At 37.8% G+C, this 18,428-nt stretch overlaps 1 protein-coding gene and 1 pseudogene across 21 annotated transcripts in view; both read right to left on the reverse strand.

Moving 5' to 3' along the window:
- Window positions 1–18,428, reverse strand: part of FGF14 (fibroblast growth factor 14) — a 691,640-nt gene that overhangs the window by 539,378 nt on the left and 133,834 nt on the right. The gene's annotated exons all lie outside the window — the stretch shown is intronic.
- RPL39P29 (ribosomal protein L39 pseudogene 29) lies at window positions 12,657–13,072 on the reverse strand (annotated as a pseudogene).

The following is an 18,428-nucleotide window of genomic DNA, read 5'->3' on the forward strand; positions in this document are numbered from 1 at the left end:
TCTGCCTAGCCTCTTACCTACACTGTGCCCTATCAAGGAGTTAAACGCAGTTACCAAAGGGAGGAAGTGCACAAGGAGAGGACAGCCACAATTTCCCTGGGACACAGGCTTCCAATGTGAACCTCCTCTGACCTGGGAGAAGTCCAAGGTTAATGCACTTCTTTGGAATCTTAATTTTTGCACAGTATATTGTGCATATGCTTTTGGAATTAAGTCTGTTTTTATAGCAAGAGGAATTTCATTATCTGAAAGTGATCAAATATCATAGCCTCATCCAAGCCTCCTCCAAAGGAAAAGCAGACCACCCCCACCAATGTGGAAAGGAACAGGGTAGGCAAAGTGGAGTTGATTTTTAATGAGTTCAGACATAAGTGTGACTGGCATTGAATATTATGTTCCCCTTCTGGGAAACCACGGTGCATTTTGCTATATTAAAAGCCCTGAGAAATCCTGCAATAAAGAAGCCTGTTCACTTTGTTAACCCTGGTATTTCCCAAATTTATTTAAAGAGACATATTTGTTTCAGAGAATGCTGATTAATATGCTGATAAACTAAGATTAATATTTCATTAAACAGAGTTTGAAAAGCATTGTTCTAGACATTTGGCATATTACTAAATCTCTATCCCGTAAAACATATTTAGGAATGCCTACATACAAAATGACTTACTCCAAAGAAGGACCTATTTAGTGTTATTCCTTTATTTATAAATTTTGTAATAAAATATCTTTAGAGTAATTTTTCTGCAAATCTTTGCTTAGCTAACCTCATTGAGAAATTAAGCATCTTACATACACGAATTTTCTGGATAACCAGAACTTTCTCCTATAAACTTTAACACTTAAAAATATCAACCATTGAAAATAAAACCTCTGAATTCAGATTTTTATTACACGAAGTTTTCATTATAAACATGAATGTTTCATTATAAACATGAATGCTATATTCATTATATTTGATGAATTCATTATATTTGATGAATGCTACATCAAATCACTACTCATTGGTATGGTATCTTTGTCTCTGGGAACTACGGAGATAGAGGTACAAGGTTCCCTCCTGGCTGCTGACTTCTTAAGGCCTGGATGTCTGTTTGAAAATTCCTTTTATTTCCTGTCTTGCAATCCACCTGTCTGCTGCTGCACCCAGTCAGAAGGCTCTGAGTGAGGGCTGGAGCTTTTATGGCACTCTAAGCCTCTGGACTTTGTAAAAACTGTTGGTTCCCCAAGAACCTTTTCTGTTGGCTTGTTGGATTTTGTTTTATTCACTTCCAAATTCAATCTTTTAAAACATCAAGAAACAGGATCTCATGATGAAACAGCATTTCCTTCATCCTGAGGACTGCTGCAGACAGTAAAGTTTGTACACTGCATAAAGGACAAAAACAAGGGGCGAGGAGGGCTAGAGTCCAGTAGAGATGCCAGCCATCGAGTTCTGAGCCTATGGGATTTGGGTTTTCTCTACTAGCTATGCTCTGCACAATCAGAGGAGACACCTTTTCCAAATTCACGTTGGGGCAATTGGAACCCAGTATCCCTCGTGCTTCAGTGGAAATCAGATGCCACACCCTTTACATGACTCTTTTTAGACTTCCCTTCCTGCATCCTCCAAATGATGTTACCAAATCTCTCCTTCCACCAAGCCTCATCCAATCCCCAAACAATTTTCCCTTTATTTGCAAAAGCACACCCTTATCTAAATATCACTGATAAATTTGAAATGAAATTTATGAATCCAGAGAACTCATTTTCTTTGTTCCTCTGCATCTCAGCCTACAGAGGCTATGACCCACAAATGGATAAAATTAATTATGAGCATAATGCTGTACCAGTCCAGTCACAATGTTTTACTGATCCCAGACACCTGTATATCGATGCGGCTAATCTAATCTATCTGGACCATGTTAGGAAGGAAGATAGCTGGGAAAGGCATTATGCACATTTTGCAACCAAATAGAAAAAGAAAATGAGCCACTTGCGAAATGTAGGTTGCATGGGAAGAACTGGAGCAGGACACATCCTAAGGGTTGACATGCACTTTTTTACATGGCTGAGGCCACTGAGGCAAGACCCAGCCCTGCTAGAGTGGGAAACTCACTGGTTTCATGGGGCAAAAGCAGTATTCAGGTTTTGATTCTCCCACTTAACTGCTGTACAACTTTGCTAAGCTTCAATTCCCTCATCAATAAAATGGAATCAGTAATAATAACTTGCTTAACAAGGCGAGGATTTCATGAAATATAGCCGTACCTTGGTATCCGAGGGGACTGGTTCCAGGACCTCCCAGAGATGCCCAAATCTGCAAATACTCAAGTCCCTATTATAAAATGGCATAGTATTTGCATATAACCTTGGCACATCTTCCCATATACTTTCAATCATCTCCAGATGAGTTAGAATACCTAATATGATGCAAATGCTATGTAAATAGCTGTTATACTCCATTGTTTCTTATATGTATTTTTATTGTTGTATTCTTATTCTTTTTTTTTTAATTATACTTTAAGTTTTGGTTAAATGGGTACATGCTCAGAACGTGCAGGTTTGTTACACAGGAATACACGTGCCATGGTGGTTTGCTGCACCCATTAACCCAACATCTACATTAGGTATTTCTCCTAATGCTATCCCTCCCTTAGCTCCCCACCCCACAACAGGTCACTGTGTGTAATGTTCCCTTCCCTGTGTCCATGTGTTCTCATTGTTCAACTCCCACTTATGAGTGAGAACAAGTGATGTTTGGTTTTCTGTTCTTGTATTAGTTTGCTGAGAATGATGGTTTCCAGCTCCATCCATGTCCCTGCAAAGGACAAGAACTCATCATTTTTTATGGCTGCATAGTATTCCATGGTGTATATGTGCCACATATTCTTTATCCAGTCTATAATTGATGGGCATTTGGGTTGGTTCCAATTCTTTACTATTGTGAACAGTGCCACAATAAACATACGTGTGCATGTAACTTTACAGTAGAATGACTTATAATCCTTTGGGTATATACGCAGTAATGGGATTGCTGGATCAAATGGTATTTCTAGTTCTAGATCCTTGAGGAATCGCCACACTGACTTCCACAATGGTTGAACTAGTTTACACTCCCACCAACACTGTAAAAGTGTTCCTATTTCTCCACATCCTCTCCAGCATCTGTTGTTTCCTGACTTTTTAATGATCACCATTCTAACTGGCATGAAATGGTATCTCACTGTGGTTTTGATTTGCATTTCTCTAATAACCAGTGATGATGAGCTTTTTTTCATATGTCTTTTGGCTGCATAAATGTCTTCTTTTGAGAAGTGTCCGTTCATATCCTTCGCCCACTTTTTGATGGGGTTGTTTTTTTCCTGTAAATTTGTTTAAGTTCTTTGTAGATTCTGGATATTAGCACTCTGTCAGATGGATAGATTGCAAAAATTTCCCCCATTCTGTAGGTTGCCTGTTCACTCTGATGATAGTTTATTTTGCTGTGCAGAAGCTCTTTAGTTTAATAAGATCCCATGTGTCTATTTTGGCTTTTGCTGTACTCTTACTCTTTATGGGTTTTTTTCCCCCACATATTTTCGATCTGTGGTTAGTTGAATTGGGATGTGGAATCAGATACAGAAGGCTGGCTGGAGGTGAAAGAACTGTAAACTGTAAATTGTACTGTATAAACAAATAAACTTTAAATGCTATATAAGCCTCTTAATTAAGGAACCCTTGTGATTAGAAGTAAACTGGGATAGGAAAATTTCCATTTCATTGACACAAGTCTCTTTCTTGTCCCTCCTCTCAATAAAGATGAAGATTTTATTCCCTCACCTCATGTGATTTTGAACTAATACAGGTCAAGTGAAGGTAAACAATGAACACAGTACACGGTAACACCACCCAAGGGTAGTAAGGTTTCCACCCCAGCAAGAGAGGGAAAGACTGGTTGGTGATGGTGAATTTCTCCATTATTTGGAAAAACTGCTCATTAAGTTAACAACCTTAAACAATCCCAAAACTTCCAAAAATATAACATGGATAGCAGCCTTTATAAAGTTAACTTGGTTAATATTTTTGTTAATCTCACGGTGAGTGCTTATGGCACAAACTCACAATGCAGGTTGTCTGTGAGGGTTCGGCCATTGTCCCAAAATGTTAGAGATGGGTAAAGTCAGCCTGGGGGATCTACTGGAGCTCTGGATCAGATCTGAGGTCATAGTTGAAAATACGTTACAGGTGGAGCTCAGGGGCTGAACCAAGATCCTCATAGTTGGGTTTACAGGAGCTTCCAGGCGAGTCCAGGAGCCTCTTTGTCACTCCAAATAACCCTGGACTCAGAAGCAATTTTATACTTTATTAAGATTCCTAAGAATTCTGATGGCCAGAAGCCCCTAGAAGACCTCCATTTGAGGCTATCTGTAAGGAAGACCTACCACGTGGTCCTCGTCGTTGGTACAGATGAGGGTTTCTCAACAGCAGAACTTTTGACATTTGGGGGGCTAAAGAATTCTGTGATGGGGAGCTGTCATGTCCATGGTAGGAAATTCAACAGCATCCCTGGCCTCTACCCACTAAATGCACGTAGCATCATCCCTCAGTTATAACAACTAAAAATGTACTAGACATTGCCAAATGTCCCCTGAGGAGCAAAATGGCTCCCAGTTGGGAACCACTGACATAGCTGAAGTCCTGGAGACCTGGAGAAAATATAGAGATTGCAGGCTATGGACTCTTCTCACCAACTTGCTTCATGTTTTAATTAACTGTTAATAGACTATTTTAGGAAACAGCTAGGTGAAGTCTCTAAATCACTGATCATCTGCGACAGTTTAATGTAAAGTTACCATTCCTGCTTTGGAAGAAAATGTTAAATTTGAAACCCCTTTTATTCTGGTCATTGTTCACAGTGCTGTTTCCATGAATCAAAACTGAATCATTTAGACCTCATCAACCAGAAAGATAATGCAGACCACCTCAAAATTTCTCTCTTTCATCACTGAGTTCCAGAGATAGTAAATTATTCTTCTATATTCTATTACTCCTTTGGCCACTTATTCTGATTAAATTTGAGCACGATTTGATTTTGAAAGGGAGAGGAAAGGCCAGAAGGGAAATCCAAATGTCCAACCATCTTTCGGTATCAAGTACAGTGATAGGAAAACTACTCAGTCAGCCACAAAACATGAACCAAAAATTGTTGAAAAATAAATAGCATTTTTACCCAAAGAAATAACATCCATTTGCCTTTGCTTTTTACATGAGATTATCACACAATAAAGAAAAAAGAAATAAAGCAGATGAGAGGGGGAAGCCATCCATTTAAAGGAATAAATAAGATTTATAAATCAGGAAAGAAAAGAGGCTGTCATGTACAATCAGTTGTCTTATTAACCCACAGGCAGAGATACAGTCAGAAAGGTCCTATGATGGAAGATTTACCCTTGCTTATAAATGAGGCAAGATTACAAAGTAATGTAATTTCCTGGGTAAGCTGTGAGTAAGTAATTATCTCATCAAGGAATTCTGCTTCTGGGGGGCAAGTAGATGAAGAAAAACAGCCTTTCTTCTGTCTAAGACACTTATGCTGGCAGAAAAAAAGGTTACTATTGCCTGATTTTGTACATGTCTAGCTGAGTTAAAACCATAGGTCTGCAAAGACACCCACCATCACCTAACTTCTAAAGGGCTAATATTGTGAGTGAGCATGCTGCTTTAGGACTGTAACCTTGGTACTTCAATGCATCTTCCTCTAAACTTAATGTCAGGAAACCTTTACAAGGCATGCTTGATGGTGGGACTGGTTCTGGTGGAGAAACGGGTTTTAGAAAATAAACTTGAATTTGATAATAATTAAAAACAAAAAAAACTCATTGATTGGAAAAGTACCCAAGACCACTCAGTTTCTACTTGGGGACAGGTGAGGCACAGCAATTACTCAAACTCTAAATCAGGATGGAGCAGTGTTTTGATTTGGAAATATAAAGGGATGGTATGAGTTGATGGAAGAGAGGGAGAAATGAAAAGATTGAGAACAGGTCACATACATTCTATGAAGTCTTTCAAAAGTAGCTAACATGCCAGGCATGGTGGTTCATGCCTGTAATCCCAGCATTTTGGAAGACCGAGAGCTTAGCGGTTCAAGACCAACCTGGGCAACACAGGTAGACCCCATCTCTACAAAAAAAAATTAAAAAAAAATTAGCCAAGCATGGTGGGACACATTGTAGTCCCAGGTACTCAGCACGGTGAGGTGGGAAGATCACTTGAGCCCGGGAGGTCGAAGTTGCAGTGAGCTGTGATCACGCCACTGCACTCCAGCCTGGGTGACAGAGCGAGACCCTGTCTCAAAAAAAAGGAAGAAAAAAGTAGCTAATGTACAAGTTAAAACAGAGGCGCCTAGCAACTTGTCAAATTTTGTTGGAACATTTCTCAAACTTCCCTTGGGAACTACTGAATCAGACGCTCTAAAGAGTTAACACATCTTCTGGAATTTCCCACATTTTAAGCAGAACTTACTTCCTCCACAAGATCTGTCCTAAATTATTATATAACTTACTAGTAATTGCTCATGCTAGAACATAAGGGAAGCTTAACAAATGGGTGACATTGCTTGATTTAAAATTAAGAGTCGATGCTGATAATACAATAAAATTAGTCCATGTAGAACAGTTTGACTTTAAGTTATATGTTATGCAATATCAGGTTTATAAATTAAATCTAAGTAGTTTGAGTTAAAATAATTGGTCATGAATTGAAAATATGTTGAAAAAATAAATCATATTTTTGCTCAATGAAATAACATCCATTTTCCTTCACTTTTCACATGGAATTAACACGTTTCTATCTGAATTTGGTGGCTTGTATTGAACTTGATCTGGTATATAAGGAAAAAGGAGAATTGGCTTGCATAATAATTGGCATAATAAAGGCAGTGAGATTATTACAAAATTAAGCATCAGCTAACTTAAAATTGGCATTTCTCTCACAACAATAGTATCAGAGTATATAATGGTAGGTATACACAGTTTACCTATTAGAAAAACAAAAAGCATACCTGCCAACAGATAGAAATGCATTACCTCCAATAATAGGGACATTTTCTGGAAGTGAATTCTTTCAATAGTTTGCTGATGGTTTTAATTTGACATCTTTTTTTTCCTTTTTGCATGCATGTCCATTTCCTTTCTTTTCTTTTTTTTTTTTTTTTTTTTTTTTTTCGAGACGGAGTTTCACTCTATCACCCAGGCTGGAGCACAGTGGCATGATCTCGGCTCACCGCAACCTCCACCTACCAGGTTCAAGTGATTCTTCTGCCCCAGGAGCCTGAGTAGTTGGGACTATAGGCATACATCACAACGCCCAGCTAATTTTTGTAGTTTTAGTAGAAGCCAGGCTGGTCTCAAACTCCTGACCTGAAGTGATCCACCTGCCTTGGCCTCCCAAAGTGCTAGGATTAGAGGTGTGAGCCACCACGCCCAGCCGTTTGCATGTGCATTTCTAACCAATAGAGTCCCCAACTACCCATCTTCTGCCAATGTATATTTTTTCCATCAATACTTCCATTTTTCATACTTGCTGCCACTAAGCCACAAGGAAAAGGGAGCGCTTCATGCAAGAACCCAAGCATTTGACAAGGCTGACAGTCTGCAGTGTTTCTGGAGGGGCCACCTTCAGTCTTCTCCTTTCTTTTCTTCTTCCTAGCTCTTCAAGCTGAACTAACCCATGTCCCTTTATGGCCCAGTTCATCAGCCACTTCTACCTATAGCTGTGTATTAGTCTGTTCTCATGCTACTGATGAAGACATACTTAAAGAGACTGGGTAATTTACAAAGAAAAATGTTTAATGGACTCACAGTTCCACGTGGCTGGAGAGGCCTGACAATCATGGTGGAAGGTGAAAGGCATGTCTTACATGGCAGCAGACAAGAGAGAATGAGAGCCAAACGAAAGGGGTTTCCTCATATAAAACCATCAGATCTTGTAAGACTTCTTCACTACCATGAGAAGAGTATGGGGAAGCTGCCCCCATGACTCAATTATCTCCCACCAGGTCCCTCCCATAACACGTGGGAATTATGGGAACTACAATTCAAGATGAGATTTGGGTGGGGATACAGCCAAACCATATCAAGCTGGGAGCACAGCAGCAGCTTCAGCCCACATGTGAGGGACATTTGTACTGTGCCCCACCCACCAGTGTGGCCAGGAGGCCAAGCGACCATGGAGGTCGCTTGCCTCCACCCCTCTTGCTTGCCCAGGCTGCTGTGTCCTTTCCTCTGCCACCATTGGCTGAGGTCCTCTGTCTTTGTTCCCTTTTGGGACTGCCTCACCCTAGACACTGGCCTGCCTAGGACTCTGGGAGCTTGGGCATTGATGGCCAAACCCCTACATGAGTGTTTATTTATTGCCCCCATACCTTCAGTCTGGGGACGGGAGCCCATGAGAAGAATATGGCAGCAGATGGCAGCAGATGGGTCGCTCCACCATCCCTGAGCCCAAGCTCCCTGGAATGATAGCTGTCTCAATGAATCACTGATTCCACCTGTTGTGCTGTGGGTAATGTCAGAGGGGCTGCACATGAGCTTTGTGAGAGATGTGCTCTTGGTTTCATTAAGTGAATGGAGGAACATGCAAACAATAATGTAAAAAAATGTCAGGATCTCTTAAGTAGGTTTGGGACAAATACTATTCAAGTAAAACTAATGTGAAAAGTAAACACAGACCATTACAATTGGGAGTTGATTAACCTGTGATCCATGGTTGGACTTCAGGGGCTCTTTATGCCTCCCAGGAAGTTAATAGATAGATAGTTTTACCTGTATGTGTATTTTTTCTAGAGAAAAAATTAATATTCTCAAAAAAGAACATGATCTGAAAAAGTTAGAAATCATCTCCTCATTCATCTGCTCATTTTGTGATGGGCGCTACCAAGGCACAAAGAGGCTGTCCTGAAATGCAAATAACATGATCTTACTCCTCTGTTGAAAGACTTCAGTGGCTCCTGCCACTCTCCAGATGAGATACAAAGCATGACATGCTAGGCTGCATGGGGCTCTGGCCTCAGCTCATCCCTCCAGGTCCATGCCCACCACTCATCAACCCAGCTGCCCTGTGGACACAAACTGAGCCCCTCACAGCTCCTCAACAGACCACACTCCCTTTGTGAGCACATCCCCACCCCCTGCCATCTCTCCTAAATAATTTTATTTGACTGGTTTTTTGTTTTGTTTTGTTTTGTTTTTTGAAACAGAGTCTCATTCTATGTTGTCCATCCAACATCTCTTCCCTTATAAAAACTTCCCTGACTGCAACCTTGGTTCTCCAGTCCCTGTTAGGAGACACTCCTCCTTGTTTTTGTAGATACTCACGTCCTCCTGTCTCATAGCATATATATCATCCCACTATCATAGTAAATTTGCTTATCTCTGGATTTATCGACCCTGTGGGAGCCCTCCCCCCCATCCACTCTTTGCTCTATCAAGGTAGGATGTTTTTACCTTCACATTCCCCAGAAGCCAGCATAGCACCTAGAACAGTCTAGGTTCGCCACATATGTTTTTTATATGAATGAACGAATGAAGCAGAGTTATAGATAAAGATAAAGCACTGAACATCCCATACTAGCCCAAGATGCCACATAGCTAGTCTGTGATAGAGCCCGAAGTAGGAATCTGTCTCTGATTCCAGTACTGTTTCTATGACACCCATTGCTTTATGTCTTTGCTCTGGAAAAAAGCAGGAGCATGTTTTTCTGCATCTTTTAAAAACATAAGTATAAATACTACTTCTTCAGTCCTCACCGGACAGAGGGAGCTGTTTCCCACGTTCCCGACACCCTTTCAGGAGATTCATAATGTACATGTTGGTTAAGGGTGAGCACATCACTAGCGAAGCCCTTGATCTTCAGGCAAGAAAGAGCGGGGAGGAGGAGGAGTCAGAGAACAAGAAAAAGAGAAGGGGGAGGAAGAGGAAGAGAGAAGAAAAAAAGAAGCGGGAGGAGGGGAGGAGAGAGTAAGTTTATGTAACCTTTCCTTGGGTCACAGTTGAAATCTAGTTATCTTTTGAATGGGTTAACTGGTACTCAAATTCTCAGATATTTATATCTAAAGTTAAAACTAAATCTCAAGTTACCTCAAGTAAAATATAGATCAGTTCGCCACTGATCTTGGAAACCCAACCACGCTTTTTTTTACTGAAAGTTTGTTTCAGTGTCAAATGAAGATTGAGAATCAAATGCAGTGGAGAGCAAAGTAATGCCCTCCAGGCACTGGCGTGGCAGCATTTCAGCCTGCTGGGCTCCCTAGAGCCTCTCTGTGCTGAGCTTTCATGATGGTTCCATGGGGAGTATCGGAAATGGCTCTGTTTTGATTTCCTCTGCAAACCTGCAGCTGCTTCTCTTCTCCAATTCACTACAACATGCTAATAGGGTGACTAAAGAGACAGCTTTGCTATCGCTATCACATTGACTCCTGTTCATTTGCTGTAACGTGCCAAGAGGCAAAACGGGCATCAGGATCAAGAGAAAACTAACTCTCCATATTTTAAGACATTCTGTAAATGGACTGAGTGTGCCTTTAGAACCTTCATCCTACCCAGCAACTTGCAGTACACACCCAGTGTAGCCTGTTCACTCTCACCTCCCTCTTGTGAGACATCCTGTTTCCGTGCTTAAAGTGTTCTTCCTTGCCCTATCCCCTTCTCTGAATGACGCCTGTTATACCAAGTGTCTCAACAGAGAAGTTACTTGCCAGCGCCTTTCCTAACTCCTCCAGAGAGGTACTCCCATTGTGCCCGCTATTGTGACTGCCTCTTTCCCTGTCCCTGTCCCCAAAAATTGTCAGCTACTTAGGGGCAGAAACTGTGTCCATAGGAGACACTCAGATACCTGAAAAGTGAATAACTGAAATTGTTTCATCTGAACAGATTCATGTCATTTTATTTTAGATCAGTGTCTACAAAAAATGACATCAGGCCCCAGCAAGGGCAAAAAGACCATGGGATCCTAATAAGATCCACTTGGACTGAATGATAATTAGGATAAAACAAGGCACCAAAAACAAAGGAAAAGTTTTGTAAGAAGCAATTAGATAATTTTGGAAAATATTTAAGGAGCTTTACCTTTAGCTTCTTGGCTGTTACAATAAGTTTTAATTCAGCTTGGTTGGATGTTGTAGAAGAAAATCGTTGAGATATTTAAACCTATAGCAATGCTACCAGTTTTAAAGAAATGGGAAAAAAATGAAAGTAAATGAAAAACCAATGTGAATGTAGCATCTTTAAAGAATTATAAATTAGCTGGAAGCAGCATCCAAATAGCAGTTCCCAAGATGTCACTATGTAATTATAGCTCATCAGCACATGTCTTGCATATTCCAAAATAACCCGTTATACTACCCTCTCTTTCCCAAACCGGGGAAGGAAAGATGACAGCAGGCCTCAGAAATAATGACTAAATAGTTCCTTTCTAACAAGGGTGGCTATCAGCTTTTAGTGTCCAATATCTTCTATAAAAATACATCACACATAAGGAAATATGTAAGCACATTCCTAGAATTCAAATTAAACAGTCTAATTTTCAAAGACTTTCATAAGTTTTTAAAGACAAAATGATTTTTCCTATTGAATTTTAAATAAAGAAGAAAATATTACCCTAAAAATAAAATAGGGGGTACCCAGTAGGTTTTGTTGAGCTGGGGATATGTAGGAGTCTTTTTGTCCATGGCCTCTTTGGTGTGATCACCTAAAATGCTTGACAGATGGGATGCATGGCTTCATTAGCAACTGTATCAGGACGCATGGAGAAAGGGGGCCCACTTAAATTGGGTGTTTGGCTAAGTGACTCTTCCTGGAAGCAGTAGCCTTGTGGATTCACTCAGTACTAGCTGTGGCTGAGGGCAGGGTAAATTCCACTGAGCAAACAGATGTGAATGTTATAAAGCAGATGCTGATCTTTAGTATCACACTATTGGGAAAACCTTTTTTTCATGGATACAGCAAGAAATACTTGTACATTTTTACTCTAATAGATGTTAAAAATAAAGCATGTTAAGGTTATGACACTTAAAATAAACATTTTAAGTGCTTAAGATGAAATATTTAGGTATTCAGGTTAAATACTCTAAAGCTTTTCAGAAGTAAACGTTTGCTATCTACAATGGAAATAAAAATTCAGAATCATTATTTCCTACCTACTATTGCTTGGACCTCCCTTTCAACCAATCAAACTTAAAAAGAAAAATCACTTTTTATTTCATGCTCACTCTGTCCCTGTGAGGAACTTTATAAAGAAAAACTGGTGCTACAATTCCTATCACTGACACCCTTCTAACCTTGTGTTTCTTGGTGGGTAATTGTTTATTTTAAAAAGTCTTTCTAAAATTCCTAGCAGGAGTAATTATTTTGATAGATTTTTAAGTGTAAATGTAGCTCTAAAAAAATCCATGCACATATCTGTTAAATTATATAATAATGATCCAATATAGCCAAGTAAAGCCAAAATTTAGCACCCACTAACAGGTAAGCATTATGTTAGGCAGTGGATTCTCAATGGTTGAATAACACACTTTCACTGATATTTGGACTTTTTATGAAGCCCATAGTAGTTCATGTTTACCTTATTTTATTGCTTTTATTTTGATGCTTTTATTTTATATCATCTCAGAAGTCAGTGATTGATTGATTGATTTTTAAGTGAACGAAAGGTCTCACGTATTTATTACTGAACCCAGCAAACCAATGCGTTCATAACAGATTCAGAGAGAAAAAAATATATATTCCCAACAAAACATGTCCAACTCTCCAGATAGTGGTGACATTTTCAGCTTGATATGGTAACATGATTGTGACCTTCAGACAGCATAAATATGTGTGCCATCTCATGTGCAATTCCTCATAGACCCAGCTTGGTTCTTTTCCAATGTCTCCTTTTGGAGTTTCACCTGACTTTATTACCAGTTTTCGTCTAAATCCACTGGGGAATGGGATGATTTTGCTTTTGTTTCTTGGCCAGGAATCCTAAAAGTCTTTTAACCCTAAAAGTCTTGTGAGAAGACATGGCGAGAAGCGCAGTCAAGCACACACCACGATGGCAGAGAAAGGACGATTTATTTTAAAAAGCAGATTTTATAGGATATTTCTTTGAGCTTTAGTAAGGTGGACTTACTCATTTTAAAGATGGAGAAATGGAGTAGTGAGCAGTGAAAAATTATGTAGTATCATAATTTGATGAATAGGACAAAAATTTAGTCTCAAGTGCTAAGGGTTTACATAATACCACATTTTCTTCTTCATTCCTTAAACACATGAAAGGCACCCCCAATAGAGACAGTACCTAATATGTATGAAGATTAGAGAGAGATTATGAAGTAATTCAATACCAATATTCTCATTTTATGCCAACTTTTATAAAAACATATACTTAGTTCACTTTTTACAATATCAGAATTACTAATTTAGGCTCTACGTATTTTCATGGACTCTAATATAATTTTGTTTTAAATAATAAATGTTAGCACAGATAAAAATATTTCTAGTACAGTATTTCTGGACATAATTCATATTGCTTTTAATTCATGCAGAATTGCTAAAATTCAGAATTTGTTTAAGAAGTGACCTATAGGGAAAATCAGAATAAACACTCTTAGACAGTGAAATAATTCACTCTCTGGTATATGGCTCTGTTTAACGTATTTGAAAGGCCAAATGTAAGAACCAGGGGAAAAAAGTTGAGTGTCATTTAGGGGCAGAATCAATTCGAAACTTTATTCTTTCCAAACTGGCTGCATATCAGAATCACCAAGTGAGGGGTGAAGGCTTATATAAGCTTTCCAAATCGAGAACCCCTAGAGGTTTTCTCTTTCCTTTTTTTTTTTTTAGCATATCTGAGATAGTCCTAATAATCTGTATTTTTAAAAGAATTCCTATGTACTTCTGAGGTATAATAAATTCGGGGAACCAATTTTAGATGGATTGAGATCAAAGCTGTTTGAATCATAGCTCTGTCATTTGCCAGTTTTGAGAGTTGGTGAAACAATTTAAGACTCATGATACTCATCTGTAAAATGAAGCAAAATAGACCTTTCTCATGAGATTCATACTAGGATTGCATAGGGACAATGCAGTGCTGAACACTGACACCAACGCAAAGTTGAGGCTCAAAAAAAGTTTGCATTCTTTGCTCCTTCTCCATAAAATTAGCATCTACTATTGACATGGAAAGCATGAAATATATAAAGCACGAAAACTGGCCAAAATTAAAAGTTCTGACCACTTCAGCTGATTGAGTTATATGGCTATTAGATCGTCTGTGTTTTTTCTAGTACAATACCAGACACTTAAAGCATATTTCTACAAACCAAATAAGTCTAAGGGCCTCATTTGGTCCTATACGATTTGGGGTTCTATAGCAGAAAATAACACACTTCTTGTTGTTTGAGTAGGGATTTTATAAAGGAATTATTTACGAGTCTTTACAGGTTGTACAGAAACCACAAAGGATAGTAACACTATCTGGGAGCTAAAGATGGTGGGGGACTAAAACACCTGAGTCAAAAAGGGCAAGAGGGGAGTGGTTATTTAAACCTGGAGTCAGAGAAGTTTCCCTCAGAGGAACCATGACCTGTTGTCAAGGGACACAGCTGGTACACAGTGACTGTCAGGAGGAGGGTATTAGGACAAAATCCCCAATCTCACTCTTCTCCTGCTAGTTGTTTGATCATGCAGCCCATTGGCCAAAGGTCAAGGTCAGTCTCCCAGGGCACAGCACGGGATGGAGAAGAGCTGAGAGTAGATAGGAGGAGGAAATTGGAGGCATATCATGTAAGTCCTATGTCATTCTGTATCATAAAGAAACACAGTCCTTCACCCCAAAGTAATTAAAAATACTTCTAATACTTACTTGTATCTTTTGAAAACATTAAAAGAAATTCAATTCATAACCAAAAAACAATTTAAAATGCCTTTTCTCTCTCTTTAACTTGGCCTCTCTCTTCCTTTCTCATTCTCATCCTCCATCAAAACTTCCCTCCAAAACAAGGTCTCCACTACCCTTTATTTCTCCATTATGTTTTTGTGTAAGTAAATTTTGGCGCTTTCTGGTATAAACTCCTTAACTCTCCATACCCATTTCTGCTTTGCAAATGCTCAGAAACAGAACTGCCAGGTTCATTATCTCTTTTAGCAAACATGGCGGGAGGTGAGGATAAGGGAAGTAATTGCAAGCATGGACACACTGATATGCACTGTTGTCGATCTCCATCAGACTTGGTGAAAAATAATAGCGCATCTGAATATAATTCAAGCAAAAGGCAGAATCCATTATGGTCTTCTATAAGCCATGACTTGGGTTTTCTTCCATATGGAAAAATGGAAGTGTTTTTCCATATGTAAAATGTAAATATTGACTGTACCTGATAGTTGCATTAGAATTGGTAACATTCCAGATTTTCATGTCTTATTCTGTTTGATTCTCACAAAATAGCCTTGTGAGGTAAGTAGGAATTTTTATACCCTTAAGACTGAGAAAAATTTAATGACTAAATAGAAGAATCACAGCTGGTAAGTGAAGAAATCAAAATTAGAATTCCAGAATACATTTTTCCCTGAGAACTGAAAACACTTTACCTAAGAACTGAAAACACTGAAAAGTGCTTCTTTTTCAAAATCAATAAAAATATTTTTTAAATTGATGCAAATGCTTACTTTGATTACTCTATTTTGAAGCATACTAATGGAGATTTCCTGTAAAATATAAGAAGAAAAAAAAATTTGTTTACTTCCTGCATTGTCATTTAAAAAATTGATTAAAATAATTAAGAATTAGATAAAATTACAATTGCAATGAAATTGGGAAGCTATGACAGCCCCACAAAAAAAGACTAAGAAGACTATTGCAAAATACCAATACAAAATGAGAGAAAAAATAAGGGACAACTCATCTCTCTAGATCTTAACCAAGACGCAGATTTCTTAAAAGTAACTGGTAAATTCAAAAAGGTCTAATTAGTGATCCTTTACTTGGGGTGAGAAAATATAGGCTCAACTTCTACTTCCCAGAACAGTAGAAGAGGCTGACTAAAGGTGAATGACAAATATTGGCCATTTTTGTTTTTGTTTTCCCATTAAAACTCCTGACACCAAAAAACTGCCAAAGATGGAGTTAGATGGAGTTAGAAGAGCTGAAGAGAGAGGAACCTCCCTCTTTGTAATTGCATACCGAGGTCACCATATCAGTGATAAGCAAACTCTAAATTACAAAATAAAAACCTGTAATTTAAACATCCAATTACAACAAGGCTAATCCTCTTTGTGGGTGATCTGCTCATCTCAAAGAGAGAATACAGGAGGGAGAGAAAGAGAAAGAGAGAGAAAGAAGCAAAGATCAGATAAATACCGCATTTTATAAAAGAATTGCTCCCAATAAACAGAAGCAAATTTATATCAAATGATATTCTTAAAGAATATAAAGAAAACATGCAACATGGACCATGGATTCTGGGTAAAGAATTTTAAAAAGATATTAAACATATAAAAGAGGGATCAAAGAAAACAGAGATAAAACATGAACTCACCAATTTCAGAAAATAAATTGAAAATATCAGTATAGTCATTTTTCAGATGAAAACTACACTTGAGAAAGAAAAGAGTGGAATATATACTGCTGAAATCAGTAAGAAAGGTAAAACACAAGCTTGAAAAGCAAATTACACAAAAGTAAAGGAATAAACATATAAACTCACTGGAGACAGAAAACAATAGTTACAGAAGACAAAAAGTAACCAAATGGTCAAAATTGATATTCTTGAAGAAAACAAACAAAAACAAAGAAACAGACAAAATTTCAATAGTTTAACAAAAGAAGTCTTTCTTGAAATAAAAGACGATGAAGTTAAGGAATCACACTGTATTTACAAAGAAATGATGTGGAAAGTTAACTGAAGATTCTAGTGAAGTTACTGGACCTTAAGACAAAAGATAAACTTTCTTTTTTTTGTAATTTTATTTTATTATTATTATACTTTAAGTTATTCACAACTATTGGGTTAGAATTATGTCCATGAGGCAGATGAATGATTTGGGGCTCAACCACACCCTAGTCGGGGAGCTTCTCAATGAAGGGACCTGAGACTTCTCCATCTTTGTGCCTCCAGCACTGAACACTGTGCTTAGAACAGTGTGGTGGAGAAAAAGCAAATTGGGAGCATTTCAGACATCAACTTCCAATGACCAATGCAGTGGAGAAATGCTGGCAAAATTCTAACAGAAAAAATACATGACTCATACATTGTATACTCAGCCAAGATTTTTCAGTCAAGTGTATAGACAAAAATAATAATTTTTGGAACATTGAAGGACATATGAAATGTATTGGCCATTTTTAAAGTTATGTATCATACATGTAAAGGATATATGTATCATATCTATGGTTATATATATGGCTATGTGTAGAGAGAGAGAAAGATATCTTCAAGCAAGAGATAAATTTAAATAATGTGTTCTCTATAAAGGATGACTGCTAGTGCTAGATCAATATAAATGAAAAATTAGATTTAAATAAACAAGATAATTATGGTTACAGAACCAAATGTAAATGTTATAATCCTTGGTATTTTACAATCATGTAAAGTACTAAAATTTGGGGGTAAAAGAAAATACAAACATAGTAATTTCTAAGTTTCAAAGCAGACAGAAATTGTATACAGTTAATCAAAAAATAGTTATTCAAATGTATTATCTAAGGATATTGAGAAAACTACTAAAAGAAGCTGGTTAGGTGAGCTGATGTTTTTCATGCCTCAAAAAATACAAAAAAAAAGAGTACATTCAATTTAGCTATAAATAGATAAGAAGGAAACAATAAATCATGAAATACAATCTTCTAAGACATCAGAATAGGACCACACACATTTATGAAATCAATAAATGTAAATGGAATAAAATTTATTCTGAATAGAAAAGCTGCCATAATAGTGAAAAACATCCTTAAGGACACAAAAATGTGAGCACTTTGAGGACAAAATCTTGGTCTTTGTTCGCCACTGTCTCCATGACATCCAACATAAGTCCAAGCACATTGCAGACACTCGGTGTCATTGACTAACTCACTAAGGGTTAGTGAAATAGTTCATAATAATCCACACAAAGGAATAATGTGTAGTTAAAAAAAACTTTTTCCTTATTGTAAAAAACAATAAGGAAGATCTAAAAATGACTGATGTGAACATTTTTGCATGATAATTTTGGTGAAAACGCTGCAGAATAATGTTATACTATGATATCATTTGAGTAAAACCAAAATATGTAGACATTATATAAAAGTTATGTAAGTTATAATACATTATATACATATATAATGTTGTGGATACAGGAAAATGTCTAGAATAATATATGCAAATACATGTGAAAATCTCAATAGAGTTTCTAATAAAGGAAACTAGGGATGATGGGAGAAAGAGAATTTC

This window comes from Homo sapiens, chromosome 13 (genome assembly GCF_000001405.40).
Source record: "Homo sapiens chromosome 13, GRCh38.p14 Primary Assembly".
NCBI classification, from domain to species: Eukaryota; Metazoa; Chordata; class Mammalia; order Primates; family Hominidae; genus Homo; species Homo sapiens.